General features: G+C 34.7%; 1 protein-coding gene across 4 annotated transcripts in view; it reads left to right on the plus strand.

Annotated features, from left to right (window-relative positions):
- Positions 1-16353, plus strand: part of PKIB (cAMP-dependent protein kinase inhibitor beta) — a 254453-nt gene that overhangs the window by 105131 nt on the left and 132969 nt on the right. For 3 of the 4 annotated variants that reach the window (NM_001270393.2, NM_001270394.2, NM_181794.3), the window contains one exon: positions 8870-8956. The gene's annotated coding sequence lies outside the window, so the exon portion shown is untranslated. Of the gene's footprint in view, positions 1-4713; positions 8503-8869; positions 8957-16353 lie in introns of all 4 variants that reach the window. The other variant, XM_047419002.1, reaches the window with a different exon arrangement.

The raw sequence follows: 16353 nt of genomic DNA on the forward strand, positions 1-16353 counted from the left end.
ATGACTCTGTCTTTAAGATTTTACAATACACTGGAAAGACAAACAATAATTACACTATAACATTATATATGGGGCTATATAAAAAATGCTGTGGGTACATAAATGTTGGGGCCACTGGTGGCTTGATTTCAGCATTTAGCCAAATAGTATCATACGCAGATTTCAAATCAGAAGTTCTAGAGAATAAAATGAGATTAAAACCTGACCTACATTACTTTTAAGTTAAAAAAAAGTATGTGGAATAATTTTTCCTGGGATGAGGGACGCAGGGTTGGAGAAATGCAAAGAAAAAGCAATTTATGGCCCTTGAATTTGGATTCATTTTGTTTGTATATTTTTTCTTAGAAGTTTATAGTAATTCATTACACTGCTTTTCAAATAGATTTGATGAACATTTGTGATAAAGACACAAAAAGATGTCAGATTTGTGAGTTGTCAAATCAAGTCCAAATTAATCTTGAAAAAACTACCCATTTCTTCTCAATATCCATGAAAAAAAGAAATACAGATACCAGCACTGAGGGGAAATAAAATGGTTTTATCTCATTTTATATGGGGAAGAAATAACATTTATTGGGCCGGGCGCTGTGGCTCATGCCTGTAATCCTAGCACTTTAGGAGGCCAAGGCGGGCAGATCACGAGATCAGGAGATCGAGACCATCCTGGCTAACACAGTGAAACCCCGTCTCTACTAAAAATACAAAAAATTAGCCGGGCGTGGTGGTGGCCGCCTGTAGTCCCAGATACTCAGGAGGCTGAGGCAGGAGAATGGCGTGAACCCGGGAGGCAGAGCTTGCAGTGAGCTGAGATCACGCCACTGCACTCCAGTCTGGGCGACAGAGCAAGACTCCGTCTCAAAAAAAAAAAAAAGAAAAGAAAAGAAAAAAGAAATACATTTATTTAGAACACATTAACTGGGATAAACAGACAAAAGCATAGTTAGAGGAGTTTTTTTTTTGTAAAATTTAAGATAAAGGGGTAAAACTTAGTGGGCAGGAATTATTACAGGATAGTTTTAAAGAGAGAAACAATCTGATTTATGAGAAGTTAAGAAATACTGTTTAAATTAGAAGGAAATGTAGATAGAAATGTCCAGGAAGATGGATTCTACTTTAAATGTGAGTAAAATGAGGCTGGGAACCATGGCTAAAAATTAAATCAGGGTTCAACGAAAACATTTTCACAGGATTTGGAAAATAAGTTAGCATCACGTATGATGCTTCTGCTTCAAAGTGGTAAGTTTGCTACTTACATGAACAAAAAGGTGACATAGTTGTTTTTTATTGTGTATTTTTATCTTATTTTATTTAACCTTTCCTTTTCGGTATCTTTCAAGCATTTTGAATTCTACGTGTTCAAAATGGAGCTCATCAATTTCCCATGCAAAACTAATTTTCCTCTGGACTTAATCTATTGTGATGAATTATAACACTATCTAGTCATCTAGATGCCAAAATGTTCTTTTGTCTTTTCAATTCCCTATATTAAATTATTTGCCTAGTTGTGCAGGTTCTCTTTGTCTAAGCCATCTTTCCTTCCTTCCCATTTCCGCAGTCACTACCCTGATCTTGGTCTCTGTTGCTCCTTGCCTGGGCCCACAGAGCCTGTCTCACATTGTGCATGGTTAATAATGTTACTCTTGATAGCCAGGCCTAATTATATCACTTCCTGATATGGCTTGGCTGTGTCCCCACCCAAATCTCATCTTGAATTGTAGTTCCCATAATCTCCATGTGTCGTGGGAGGGACCTGGTGGAAGGTAAACGAATCATGGGGTCAGTTACCCTCATGCTGTTGTTCTCATGATAGTAAGTGAGTTCTCACAAGAACTGATGGTTTCATAAGAGGCTTTTCCCTCTTTTGCTCCTTTTTCTCCTTCCTGCCACCATGTAAAGAAGAACATGTTAGCTTTCCATTCTGCCATGATTGCAAGTTTCCTGAGGCCTCCCAGCCATGCTGAACTGTGAGTCAATTAAACTTCTTTCCTTTATAAATTACCCAGTCTTGGGTATGTGTTCATCAGCAGCTTGAGAATGGACTAGTACACTTCCCCTGCTCCAACCATTTTCATGACTTCTCATGACTTCAGAATCTACTCAGGAGTTCAAGGTTGCCATAATTTACCTACCACCTACTTTCCAAAGTTTATTTTCAATGACTTCCTTATAGTCTTCTTACATTCTAATAAAACTGGCCTTTCCACTGATGCCCTGACACAACACCTGCTTTTCCATCTTCATATCTTTGCAATTGTGTTTGCGGTGCATGGAATATCCTCCCTTTCCTCCTCTATCCCATATGCCCTAACCTATCTTCATCCCTCTGTAAAGATCTCTGGTACATCAAATTCTTAGGGCCTTTTCTCTTGTTTAAACTTTTACAATACTTTTGTATTTTTGTGCTGCATCCTTTCTGTTACAAGAACATATAATTTTAATTTTCTGTACTACATTACAGCACTTTCCAGAGCAGGAATTTGTATATTACTCATATTTATGGCTCTTTAATCAATAATTAGTAAAAAAGCAAAGTATTATTTTTTAAAATATCATGTATTTTATGATTTATTCAAATTTTAAAATTTGAGATGTATCAGTTCCTAATGAAAAGTACTATACAACAAAATGAAAATTACTCTCTAGTATTTTCTCTAGGCCCCATGTATCAAGATCAGGTTGTAAATAAAGAATATTTTTACTGCAAATAAAGCAGCAACCTCTTCAGGTTCAGCTTGGAGAAATCTGAATTATTCTCACACAAGTAGCCACATAAATAAATCTTATCTGCACCTTGACACAATGTGTTTAACAAACGTCAATTAAACACAGCTGGTTTCTTCTCAGTCAGAGAAATTAAGGTGCAAATAAAAGAAGACATCGTATATAGATACATATTGTAGTTAGCCTTGTTCTAAGATTATTAAAAATAGGTCTTAAGGTGCTTTCTATTCAGTAAAATTAATACCTCTCATTTAATTTTTAAAGTAAAAAATTATGTTCAGTGAATTTTTACTGAAATTATTTCATCACTATTTTTATATTTGACCTGTGTTGCTAGTTTGATATATAAAAGCATTTAAAATTTGTTTTTCTATCTTCAAAAAAACTAGAAAGTTCTATGTGAATGTAGTCAAATTCAAACATATTTGCTTGAGGATTCTTCTTTAGGCAGAAATGTTTCACGTGGAGTCTAAGCATGCAAACATTTTCTACTATCTTAAATTATAAATTACAGAAAACAAATAAAGCTCTAGAAATTGGAACTTGGTTGATTTTGATGGGAAACTGGGACCTCTGGAAAATGATGTTGGCATCTAATGATGTTATTTGTTTTTATCTATTATATTAAATAAAGGTAATTGCTAAGCTTATTGCCCATTAGTATGTTATTCATTAAGTGAACTATTAAAATACATTTCACCTATGTTATGCTTTTTCTCATTCTCTTCTTCTGTAAAGATTAACTGGCTTTTTCCTTAGCATAATATTAAAGTGAATTGTTTGCCTACATAGGGTTTGCCCCATCTCAGATTGTAAAGCCTCCCTGAACACTAGGCTTTTCAGGCTGCTGAAACTTGGGGACTGGTTTTATCCTGTATCATATCTATATGCACTATACACTACAAGCAGCAGAAAATATATTATTTTGTCTTGTATCTTCTTAGTTCCCAGCATACCACCTTCCCCCCACCAACTTTTAAAAAAGATTGAATCTGTTTTAGTGAGCCTCCAGAATGAAATGTTAATGGATAAACGAAACAGGAAGGGTTGTTTGTTTTTACCAAATTGCACTGAATACCTTGTCTGACATAACCTGTGGTCAATCTTTTCTTTTACACCCTCTAGAAAACATGTGAGTCATAGTTGATGGGGAAACAGTCATTATCATCAATTCTTGTCTGTGCTACCACTAGGTGGATGGTGCAGATTCTGTATTACAGACTGTAGCCTGCCAAATACCCAGGATCTTCCATCAATCACAGGCTGGAGATATACCTCGAGTCCCACCAGAGCCAGGGACTTTTAGTTATTGCACAGGCGGAATATCAACTAACTCTTCAAATAGCTCTAGTAATTTTGTGGAAATAAAAATTTAACTACTGCGTCACACTGTGATTTGGAAGAATTTAACCATTATAATACCATCATCATTTTTCTACATAGAGGACAGAATAGATGTTTCAGGTCTGAAGCAATTTCTTGGTATTGCAATGTAAGATTTCCTGGGAAATGTTGGTTTCAATGTAGAGAATTTCTTCCTACTTTATCAGTCATCTCGAAGTTGTTTTTGTTATAACATTTCTTTTACAATATAAGACTATCCTTTCCATCTTGACTTATGATTGTTAGTTATTATTAAAACTAGGCATTGTTAAGCATGAAAAGCTGAAAAGAAAATAAGAATTAATGCAAATTACTTGGTCAGAGAGCCTCACAAAGGACTTAAATAGATTTGGAATGAAAAATAGCAAGACTAGGTTAATTTAAATAACTTGCCATATAAATGTTGGAAAGCAATTACCAAAATCCCTAAAATTTTAAGCATCAAGATTAAAGGTTTAAAATTAATTCATTTTCTCTTACACAAACATAATCCTCCTTTTAACGTGCTTTGTTCTTTTAATTCTGTGATTTACCTAGGTGCATTTGCATTTATTGTATTTTTTTTTCTGTTTTTCTTCCTTATGATGTCTTAATCTCCTTTGTGGGCAGGGACCATTAAAAATCTTTAATTGTGCCAGATGTTTCTGACTACCGAGTCAACATTCACTGATTGAGCCATGAAGATTGAGCTATGATGATACTGCCATCTTTCTATCCATTACAAATGTAAAGTTTTTTTCTAGCTTTCTATCTCTATGGGCAAGTGTGGTCTCAATGGAAGGTGAGCAATGAGTGTAGGTGTGGGATATGACATCATTTTAATTTTTTAAGTGTTTATGTTCTCTTACAAATTTATACTGCAGAGATGGTCTTTTACCACTATGAGCCATATAACGTGATGTACATAGCAGTTGCTTGAAAAACATTTGCACTTCTTGATGATAGATGAGGACTTTGTAGTTGCTTATTTTTTGTCATCTTTATGGAACTAACATGGTAACAGTTATATCCTAATAGAAAAAAGTTAAAGTCCTAAAATCATCCAGGTCATTCTTAAGCAGGGCTGGAATGTCTCAGAATTTAGTAGCTATTCTTCACCAAGCAGAACTTAGTCATACCACTGTGGACTTCCCTTATTTTCTCCTATTTGCCACAAAAAAAGCAAGTGAAATAATGTAAGAGAGGGATAAGGAGATGTGGCTACTGTTTAACAACCCATCCAGTTGTTGGCTCGTGGCTTTCATCCAGATGAGAATGATTAGGAATGACTCCAAAGGCCAAAAAATGTTTATATTCCATAATGTGACATTAAACATTTCTGAATCCAAAGTCTGAATTTTATTTTTCTCAAAAGCCATTTGCACTAATGTTTGTATTATAAACATGTCCCTCAAAGAGGTTGAGCTAGAAATGGTATTATCTGATGGAGGGGCTAGACATATAGATATGTAACCAGTTATCTTTTCTATCCTATGTTCTTATAACAGAAGCTACCTTCTTTGAAGCTGTGTTGAGGTGTTGATAGAAAGTGCATTTCTTTTGTACTGCTTGTGATAAAGGAACTCATGGCCAGGTTAATATTACATATAAACATGTTTAAGTACAGACTGTAATAGAGGCTCCACGAGGTCAGGGATTTTTGTGTTTTTTTGTTCTCTTATGTATCCCAAGACCTAAAACAGTACCTAACACATAGTAATTACTAAGGAAATAGTTACTGAATGAAAGACTAGAATATGGTCACATTATTCTTGCATTTTGTTTTCTTTGGCTATGCAAGTTGTATCATATTTTCCTGTTTTCATAATCATCTTCTGAATATTGATTAATACTTAGTCATATGAAGAAATATTAATATAAGATATAGAATAGTCTTAACAATCAAGATAGAAAAAACATTTATACCCCAAGTGTTTTCTTTCTTTTCCTTTTTTCTATTTATCTTAAATAGGTTGATTATGTTTTGATTTCATTGTATAATACACTGTTGAGGTCAAACAAACGAAGCTTTAGTGAAGATTATTTTGAAAGAAACAATAGAGCATTTAATAATTTTATTTGCAAAATATATTTCAGAAACATTTTATTTCTAGCCTTAAACAGAAATCTTAATAATATCTTCTACATTATGCAGGCAGCAAACTGTGAGATAGGCATGCCCAAGCATTTCTAGGGAAGGACTTATACATTCTTAATAGCAATTTTAATTGTTCCCAGAATTGAGAATTTTTATTCTAATAATGACATGGGTAATATGCCAATAAGATACATATTAAAGGTGAGACCTAAAATTCATCTTGCAAAATAAAATTATTCACAAATGACTTTCTGAAATACCTCTTTAGGATTCTTCTTTGCTTTCCAGGCTGTTCCACGAAATTTTTGCTGCTATTACTTTAGTATGCTACTACACCCCTTCCCACTGCTTACTTTAAGAAAATCCCCTCACACTGAATACGCACATATACATTTTGTAATGTTAATTCTAGTCTGTCTTTTCAGTTATCTTCTTGGCACAAATATCACCTCTAATAAACACCATTAATCATAATGATGGTATTAATATCAATAACAATGATTACCCATTCTAGATTAGTTTATTCATTTTCATTGACTTAAAATGATTACTTCTTGACTTGAGAGGTAAGTAGTTCCTTAGAGACCTCTGAGACTAGTGAGAATAGAGCAAAGAGGCCAACTGTTAGGCTTGTCAGACTTCCTTTTTTATGCTGGGCTATGCCCCTTTTCGCAGTTTCACTTGGATGAAGAACTGGAGATTTAGTAGTTAGTGTCTTTGCAGTGTGGGAGTGTCTAACTTGGGAAGTCATAGAAGAATGAGGGAAAGTCTTATCTATTTATTTCTCTGGTATTTTTCTGGTAGCTGAATTGATTTAATTTTACCCGTGAGAGATTACACATCATTAAGGATTGTGAGTGAGGCAAATGGCTATTTAAAGGTTGACAGTGTGAAAAAACTAATTAAAACATGCACAGTCTAATCAGAAAGAAAATATATGAGAAAAGGGGAGAATGTAAAAATGGTTAAGTTATTAAGCATGCACAAGATCTCAGGATAGTATCTCCATCTTATTGCTACATATTTCACCAAATAAGGATTATTTTTTTCTTATCTCATGGTAACATCAAATGAATAAGTTCAAATTTACATCTACAAACCAGAGATTAAATATGTCAATAAAAAAGTGAAATATCTGTTGGAAATGATAATCATAAATTAAGTAAGCCATAAATAGAATTTCAATGAGGTGTTTTGATTTGTGTGAATGAATTCATTAAATAAATATTATAGCAGCAAGTTAGAGGCCTGTAATATACTGACTAACTACCTAGTGGGATTCTTTTCCACTGCATTCCAAATTTATAAGAAATACGCAAAAATTAAGTAAAGAAATAGGTCTCAGAGATTATTAACTTTTATGTCATGTAGACTTAAATACAGTTTTAATGAACAGAACTGAAGAAAAATTGAATTATATTTACCATTTTTTATGCTTAGAAAAGTGGCTTCAATTTATTAAGAAAGAATCTTGAAATGGAAGATTGAAACTAAGTATGAATTGTCTGTTTAATTTACTGTTATCTCAAAATATTAAATTTATTAAATACTGTATTCACAAAGTGTTACTGAGATAGGACGTGGGATGCAACTGTGGAGGGGCTCAGACACTGGGACACAATGGGGACTAGGTAAAACAGGGATGGGGCAGAAACATCTCTCCATAAGACAAGCCCACCAATGTGCCATGTCAGTTTACCATTGCCATGGCAACATCTGTAAGTTACTGCCCCTTTCCATGTCAATAACCTAACAGCATGAAAGTTACCACTCTTTTTCTAGAAATTTCTGCATAATCTGTCCCTTAATTTGCATATAATTAAAAGTGGGTATACATATGACTGCAGGACTGCCTCTGAGCTGCTATTCTGGGCACACTGCATATAGGATAGCCGTACTCTCCAAGAAACAGCACCTCCGCTGCTGCTGTATGCTGTCACTTCAATAAAAGTTGATGTCTAACACCACCAGCTCACCCTTGAATGTTTTCCTTAGCAAAGCCAAGAACCCTCCTGGGCTAAGCCCCAATTTTAAGACTTGTCTGCCCTGCACCTTTATGATCAATGCAAGAGTCTCCTGTACAATAAGGTATACAAATAGCAGCAGATGGTCTACTGAATAATTGAACATCTTTCAACTTCACTTGGCCTGTTAGGACTACCCTTCACCTGGTACTTTTCTAACAGTTGACTTAGTTGTTGGGCTAAAGCTAAAAGGGGCCAGAGATAATTTTAATTTCTTTTCTCTCTCACTGGAATAGAGGTCTCACAAGGTCAAGGCTCCACAAGGCTCAGTGCTAAAGGAGAGGAATCTTAAAAATGGTAAAAATTGTTATAGTTTTCTTTTTGGTCTTTAATAAGATTAAATTCAACAGTCTAAAGCTAAAGAAACATTAAGTCTATAGAAGTGAAATTAATTATGTAAGTGAACACTGCAAATTATTGAAAAAACAATAGTTAAAACCTAATTTCTTTACTTCTGGTCCAATGTTCTTTCCATGCCACTATCCTGCTTCCTCCAAGCATTTTGTTACAAAATTTTTTAAAATGTGCAACAATATATTTTCTTGAATTATCCAGAACGGTTATTCCTAATGTGTTTGGGGTGTTATTACTTACGTGTTATGTTAATTATGCTGAACCTTTGTAAAATGTATGTATAACTTGTTTTTCTCTTTCTCTCTCTTAGGTTTTTCTTTCGTTTAAAGATGACACACTCTGAAATTAATTTGATTTTGAGATTTGAGAACTTGGACATACATACTTCCTATGGAAGGTAACATCTTTTTGGTAGTGATCACGTTTTGTCATGTTTATGTGCCTAGCAGCTAATAGAATGCCTGGTGCATAATAAACATTCCCATAACTGAATTAAACAAGTTGATACAATTGACATGTTTTGTGAAATCTTGCTTTAAAAATCATCTACTCAAGAGAGTGCTTCAAGTTTCCACTTTGTGTGGGTAGACACTGTCTAAATTGAAAGTAAACTGTGATCTGTTGAACCAAGGATGGCATTATCAAACTTATTTATGGTTCTGTCCTGGTTAGGTTTTTCATTATTTGTGTTGTGATTGTTAAGTGCAGTCTTGATACCATCATATGATTTTTCTCATTTTAATGTAACTATATTTTCTATAATTTATTCCCATCTGTCCTTTCAGCTGACTGATAATTCCACATTACAAATTACGTTGTCTTTATTTTGATTCATGTTTTTGTCCTCATATAGTCCTTTTGCCTTTGATGCTACTACAACTTCAAAGAGAGTTTAAATAAATGAAGAGAATGTGTAGGCTCAGTGCTAAAGAGCAGAAATCTTGAAAAATGTGGATTAAAAAATGGTTATATTTTTCTCTTCAGTCTTTACTGAGTATTAAATTCACCAAAGTCTCTTTTTGAGAAAGTCCTTTCCCTGTACTTCCCCTCTACTGACCCCTTCTTTATTTCGCATGTGTGTGTACTCCTTATAATTGATGATATAGCCAAGGGAAGGGCTTATGTTTAGGCAGACAACGGAGCAGATGGGTCTTAAACAGATTTGGGAAGCTAGAATCTGGAGAACATAAGAAACAACTCCAAGAACTCTCTCAGTACTGGGCACTGCATTTCCAGGAAATTACAGCTTTAGGGCCACAGAAAATATATTAAGCAACTGTTATAACAAATTTCCCTCTGCCTCCACCTGGGTGGGGTGGTAGGAGGGAGCGATAACTTCACTCCAGTATATAATGTTTGCAGAGAAGGGTACCAAGCAGCCTCTTTATTAAATAAAACAAACTAAATAAGCAATGTGGTTTTTTTTTTATTGTACTTTAAGTTTTAGGGTATATGTGCACAATGTGCAGGTTTGTTACATATGTGTACATGTGCCATATTGGTGTGCTGCACCCATGAACTCTTCATTTAGCATTAGGTAGATCTCCTAATGCTATCCCTCCCCCGTCCTCCCACTCCACAATAGGCCCCGGTATGTGATGTTCCCCTTCCTGTGTCCATGTGTTCTCATTGTTCAATTCCCACCTATGAGTGAGAACATGCGGTGTTTGGTTTTTTATCCTTGCGATAGTTTGCTGAGAATGATGGTTTCCAGCTTCATCCATGTCCCTACAAAGGACATGAACTCATCCTTTTTTATGGCTGCATAGTATTCCATGGTGTATATGTGCCACATTTTCTTAATCCAGTCTATCATTGTTGGACATTAGGGTTGGTTTCAAGTCTTTGCTATTGTGAATAGTGCTGCAATAAACATACGTGTGCATGTGTCTTTATAGCAGCATGATTTATAATCCTTTGGGTATATACCCAGTAATGGGATGGCTGGGTCGAATGGTATTTCTAGTTCTAGATCCCTGAGGAATTGTCACACTGACTTCCACAATGGTTGAACTAGTTTACAGCCCCACCAACAGTGTAAAAGTGTTCCTATTTCTCCACATCCTCTCCAGCACCTGTTGTTTCCTGACTTTTTAATGATCGCCATTCTAACTGGTGTGAGATGGTACCTCATTGTGGTTTTGATTTGCATTTCTCTGATGGCCAGTGATGATGAGCATTTTTTCATGTGTCTTTTGGCTGCATAAATGTCTTCTTTTGAGAAGTGTCTGTTCATATCCTTCGTCTACTTGTTGATGGGGTTGTTTTTTTCTTGTAAATTTGTTTGAGTTCATTGTAGATTCTGGATATTAGCCCTTTGTCAGATGAGTAGATTGCAAAAATTTTCTCCCATTCTGTAGGTTACCTGTTCACTCTGATGGTAGTTTCTTTTGCTGTGCAGAAGCTCTTTAGTTTAATTAGATCCCATTTGTCAGTTTTGGCTTTTGTTGCCATTGCTTTTGGTGTTTTAGACATGAAGTCCTTGCCCATGCCTATGTCCTGAATGGTATTGCCTAGGTTTTCTTCTATGGTTTTTATGGTTTTAGGGCTGATATTTAAGTCTTTAATCCATCTTGAATTAATTTTTGTGTAAGGTGTAAGGAAGGGATCGAGTTTCAGCTTTCTACATATGGCTAGCCAGTTTTCCCAGCACCATTTATTAAATAGGGAATCCTTTTTGTCAGGTTTGTCAAAGATCAGATAGTTGTAGATATGCAGCATTATTTCTGAGGTCTCTGTTCTGTTCCATTGGTCTAGATTCAATGCCATCCCCATCAAGCTACCAATGACTTTCTTCACAGAATTGGAAAAAACTACTTTAAAGTTCATATGGAACCAATAAAGAGCCTGCATTGCCAAGTCAATCCTAAGCCAAAAGAACAAAGCTGGAGGCATCACACTACCTGACTTCAAACTATACTACAAGGCTACAGTAACCAAAACAGCATGGTACTGGTACCAAAACAGAGATGTAGACCAATGGAACAGAATTTTTTGTAGTTTTTTAAAAAATCACACATTTTGCAGCCTTCGTGTATTTGTATAAATATCTGTTTACACATTGCTTTGTTTTCTGGTATTATTTCTTGTTAATTCCTTAAGGAAACATTGTAGACTCTTATATATGCCTTGTATATTCTTGTTCAGTGAATGAATAACTTAAGAACAGAAATATGTCATGTAGATATATAAATTTCTGAGAAATAATCTAGTCCTATCTCCAAATTACTGAAGACAAAGAAACAGAAACTTGGAGAGGCTGCACAACTTCTAATCAGCAGCAGAAAGGGTTAGTCTTGGTTTCTTTTGATTCCCACTGCAATGTGTTTTCCATCAGAAAAATACAACTGCTGCCAAACTGATAGACTTCCTATAACTCTAGACTACAGGATTGAAGAGGTTGTTATTTTAGTGCTGAGCCTTTATGACCTAATATAACTTCCTAGCACAGGAATATCTCTTCAACTAAGATGTATGCCACAACCTAGAAATTTTACTTCTCAATATCTACCCTAGAGTAATGCATGTTTATAAGGATTCATAAAAAAGGATGTTGCAGCAATGTTTGTAATAATAAAGTTGTGGAGAGAACTTAAATGTTTTTGCGTAGGGGAATGGTTAAATAAATGTTAATATTTTTATTCCATGAAATACTATGCAACAATTTAAAAGAATGAGTCATACCTATGTTTGGCAAAAACAGCTGAATTCCAGGATGTTGTATTACAGTGTGTACAACACATAGCCATGTAAAAAGCAATATTATATAATATATCTAGATCCATGTGATGTGTGTGTAAAAGCATTAACAAAGGGTGGGAATTAAATATGTTAAACTGAGATAGAGATAGTCACCTATGAGGATGGTGGGACTAAAAGTTGAAGGTGGCTGTCAAAGGTGATTTGATTTCATCTCCATGTCTTAAATTTGTAAAAAAATAAAATGTATTTATAAATGTATCAGTGTAATGTAAAAACAAGTTGGTTAAAGCACATTATCCAATAAAAGCTTAATATGTCCCTGTTTGACATGATCTTAGACTAGGGGCAAGGAGAGAATATGCAGATGTGGGAAAAGAGGTTGTCATTCTAGGCCGGCTCATGTTTCACAAAGCAGATAACATAAATAAGTTATTGATATTTCATTATTACAGGAAAAAGAAAATAACAAAGAATAAGGGGGCAGCAATGAAAGAAGACAGTTAAGGTAGTCACGTTTTTACCAACAGAGCCAATTTAGTTAATAACAGGAAACCAATTTTCTTCAAGTTCAAATAAGTGATCCTCAAATATTTGCAATGCATAGTCTCTGTTAAAGTTCAGAATTTTCAGTCTTTGGTTATTCTGAAATATATTATCTTTTGATGCTTCTGTGCATAATCATAATATATGTTTTGATATTAATAGAAATCAGAAAAAAATGAGTAAAAATCAGGACAGAACAAAAGGGGGATTTTAAATACACACTTTTGGGAAAACGGTAAAGTATTCAGAAATGCCAAATTATTGGTAAGGATGAGTGGTATCTGATTAAAATATTATCTTTCTAAGCTCTGAGCCTGCTGCAGGCAAACATGTCATTTTGAAATGATGCCTTATTTATAGGAAGAAGAGCTTCATGAATAGCTATTTTACATAAAAAATCATTCACAGTGAAACTTTGTGAGGTTTATTTATGGGAAGCTATATAGTGTGGAGGTTAAGATCACAGGCTCAGATGTATCTAAATTTTGAAACCTGGTTCCACCATTTACAGATTTTAAGATCTTGGGTAAGTTATTTACTCTATCTGTACCTCAGTTTACTCTTTTTTTGAAGACAATAATACTGCATACCTCACAGATTGCTCTAAAGAGGTAATAAATGAAGTAATAAAAGAAAAGCAATTAGCTCTGCAAGTGCTCAGTAAGCTACAGAAGAGTTACTTTTTTCTCCCTCCAGTGGAAGTGTATAAATGTAGGCAGACTGCAAAATGATAGCCTTTTATTAGTGTTCTGCAAAACAAGGTGTAGATTATTTAGCTCTTTAGTTAACTTGGTGAATATAGACACCAAAGATATGAGAATTTTATCTCCATAGTGCATTTTTCAAGTTTAGAGAAGGGCAGAACCATCAGATATTTCTCTTGGTCTAGCATGCCCAAGAAAAAAGGGAGAGTTGGAGCAAAGCCAGGGAGAGGCTGGAGATAAAGGTGATGGTGGGGAGGTGATGCATGCTTAGCGTGTGGTCCACAGGGCTGCCCTCTGCCCACAAAGGGTAATGACTTCTGTTGGCAAAGATTTGGGAGAAAAGGGATTGAGATAAAAGTGTAGAAGGTGTCTGCCAATGCTAAATCACTCCACAGTTGTGTGGTTTCTTTAGAATTGCCCTTGCTTATCATGGAGTATCTTTCACGAGTTTTGCCTTTTTTTAAAAAAAAAAACAGACAAACAAAAAAACAAACCCTGATTTCAGACATCTGACAGATTATAGTTTATCCACCTATTAAAGTTATCTCTAAATTAGGAAATTCCACAGGCTCCAGCTTCTCCTTAAAAATTGTATAGCAAGGAAGGTCCCCCCCCACATCTAATTCCTATCTCTCGACACACACACACACACACACACACCCCCCACATACACACACGTTTTCCCAGATTAGACAAACGTTTTCTAACTATATGCCTTTCCTATGAATAACTGAAGGGCTACTGGAAGTTACTGATTTTCAGTTTTTTTGCATTGACATACTGATTTCCTCTTCTTCCTTTACTAAAATGGTTAATATCTATTCACCATTCTTTGCATAACACCCCATAGATTTGAACGTCTAAGTCAATTGTCAAGGTGTTAGTTGAAGTCCAAGTCAATAATCCAGTATTTTGTTTTGTCCTTTTTAAAAAAGTTAAATTATATCTTTTCTCTTATCGTTTTCATTCATTTAGCCAATGAGATTATTTTTGTATATTAGACTTCATTCAGTAGAATAGTATTATTCTAATTCAATACATTAGTATGATGCTGAGCCAAATCTAAGCATCTTTCATTTTGTAGAAATGTAACCCTTCAGATAAAAATCTGGTTCAAATTGATCATTTATATGTGGTTTGTATGTATTTATTTATTATTTTTATTTTTTTGAGACAAAATCTCACTCTGTTGCCCAGGCTGGAGTGCAGTGGCATGATCATGGCTCACTGCAGCCTCAACTTGCTGGGCTTAAGCAATCGTCCCTCTTCAGCCACCTAGTAGCTGGAATTACAGGAATTACATGAGTGTGTCACTGTGCCTGGCTAGTTTTTTTTTTTTTTTTAATCATCCATATATAAGGTTTTAAAAAACAAAGTGAACTATTTGGTTATTAATGTCCTCAACTGGGATTCAACACGTGGTATTGAAAATGCTAACTTGCTATGTAGTCTCTTTTCCCTTTTTTTTTTTTAACCTTAGTTTCCTTTTCCTGAACTTAATGAAGATTCTAACTTAATGGTCAATTTCAGTAAACACAGCTGAGGTGGTTGGTACACCTATTTGATTCCCCTTTACATTAAAAAATAAATCTAATTAAATAATTGTATTTCATATATGTAATCTTTTAGAATAATAAATTTATTTTGGAAGCTGGCAGGGCATCATTTACATAGAGGATAAATAATGAATTCTAAAAATTTTTGCAAATTACTTCCTGTAAAATGCAAAGGAGATGGATGGACTGACTAGCATACTTTCTGGATTTAAATTTCTATTATTATGACTGGTTTTGAACAACTGTATGCAACCTTTCCATCAGAAAAATGAAAACTGGTTTATCTTAAGTTAGGGTTTGAGTAAATTCTGAAAAATTTTGGTCTTTAAAAGAATCATGAAGAAGTTGCATTTTAAATATCGTCTAGCAATATAGTGTCTGATAATTTTCAGTCAAGAGATCAGGAACACATTTTCAGGAAAGAAAAATCCCTGCTTTCTTGAATGGTGTCCCACATCACTTCTCTCACCCACCTGAAACTTTGCCTATAAATTACATTTGTCATCACAGAAATCAGAAAAACGTAAACACTAAGATTATGGTGCAAAGATGAAAGCCATTGCCTTTTTTAGAGTAAAAGAAGCTTTGTTAACCTAGAGTAAAAGAAGCACAGTTTATCTAGAGTAAAATCTCAAGGGATTAGCCACTGAGTTAAGGATGCAAGTACAGCAGTGCTTTTCAAACTTTAATGGGTTTACAAATCAAATAGTGATCTTGTGAAATGCAGATTGTGATTTAGTAGTTCTGAGATGGGGTCTGAGATCTTATATTTCTAACAAACTCCCAGTACTACCAATTCTACTGGTTTGGGGTCTCAGGTAACAATAATGTACATAACTCTAATATTTGGGGTCAAGTAACGTTAACATTTTTGATATTAAATTTACAAATGTTTAGAGGTCACTGGCTTTCCTAAACATTCACAGACTAAAGTTTTGATGGTTAAGGTGTGTGGTGTCAAGCTACTATTTTCAGCCATAAATTGTCCCTTTACTGAGAGAATTTGTTTACTGGAATGAAACTAAATCTAACACACCAGGCCAACTGTGTCTACAGATTTGTGCACATAGGTTTTGGAGAAAATAGAGAATTTCTTTATGTACCTGTGCTTTTTAACTTTCTTTATTTTGGATGCTCCAGATGACCCGATATAATCCAGGGGCAGCGGTAGAAAAAAGTTGGCTGCAGCAAGTTTATATGCTTTTTATTTTTTTGAAACAAATTTATATAGACTGTTTATAGATAAATATTGTAGAAATATTTAGTGGGGAAATGGAGACATTCATTAA

The sequence above is a fragment of the Homo sapiens genome, chromosome 6, assembly GCF_000001405.40.
Source record: "Homo sapiens chromosome 6, GRCh38.p14 Primary Assembly".
Classification (NCBI taxonomy): Eukaryota; Metazoa; Chordata; class Mammalia; order Primates; family Hominidae; genus Homo; species Homo sapiens.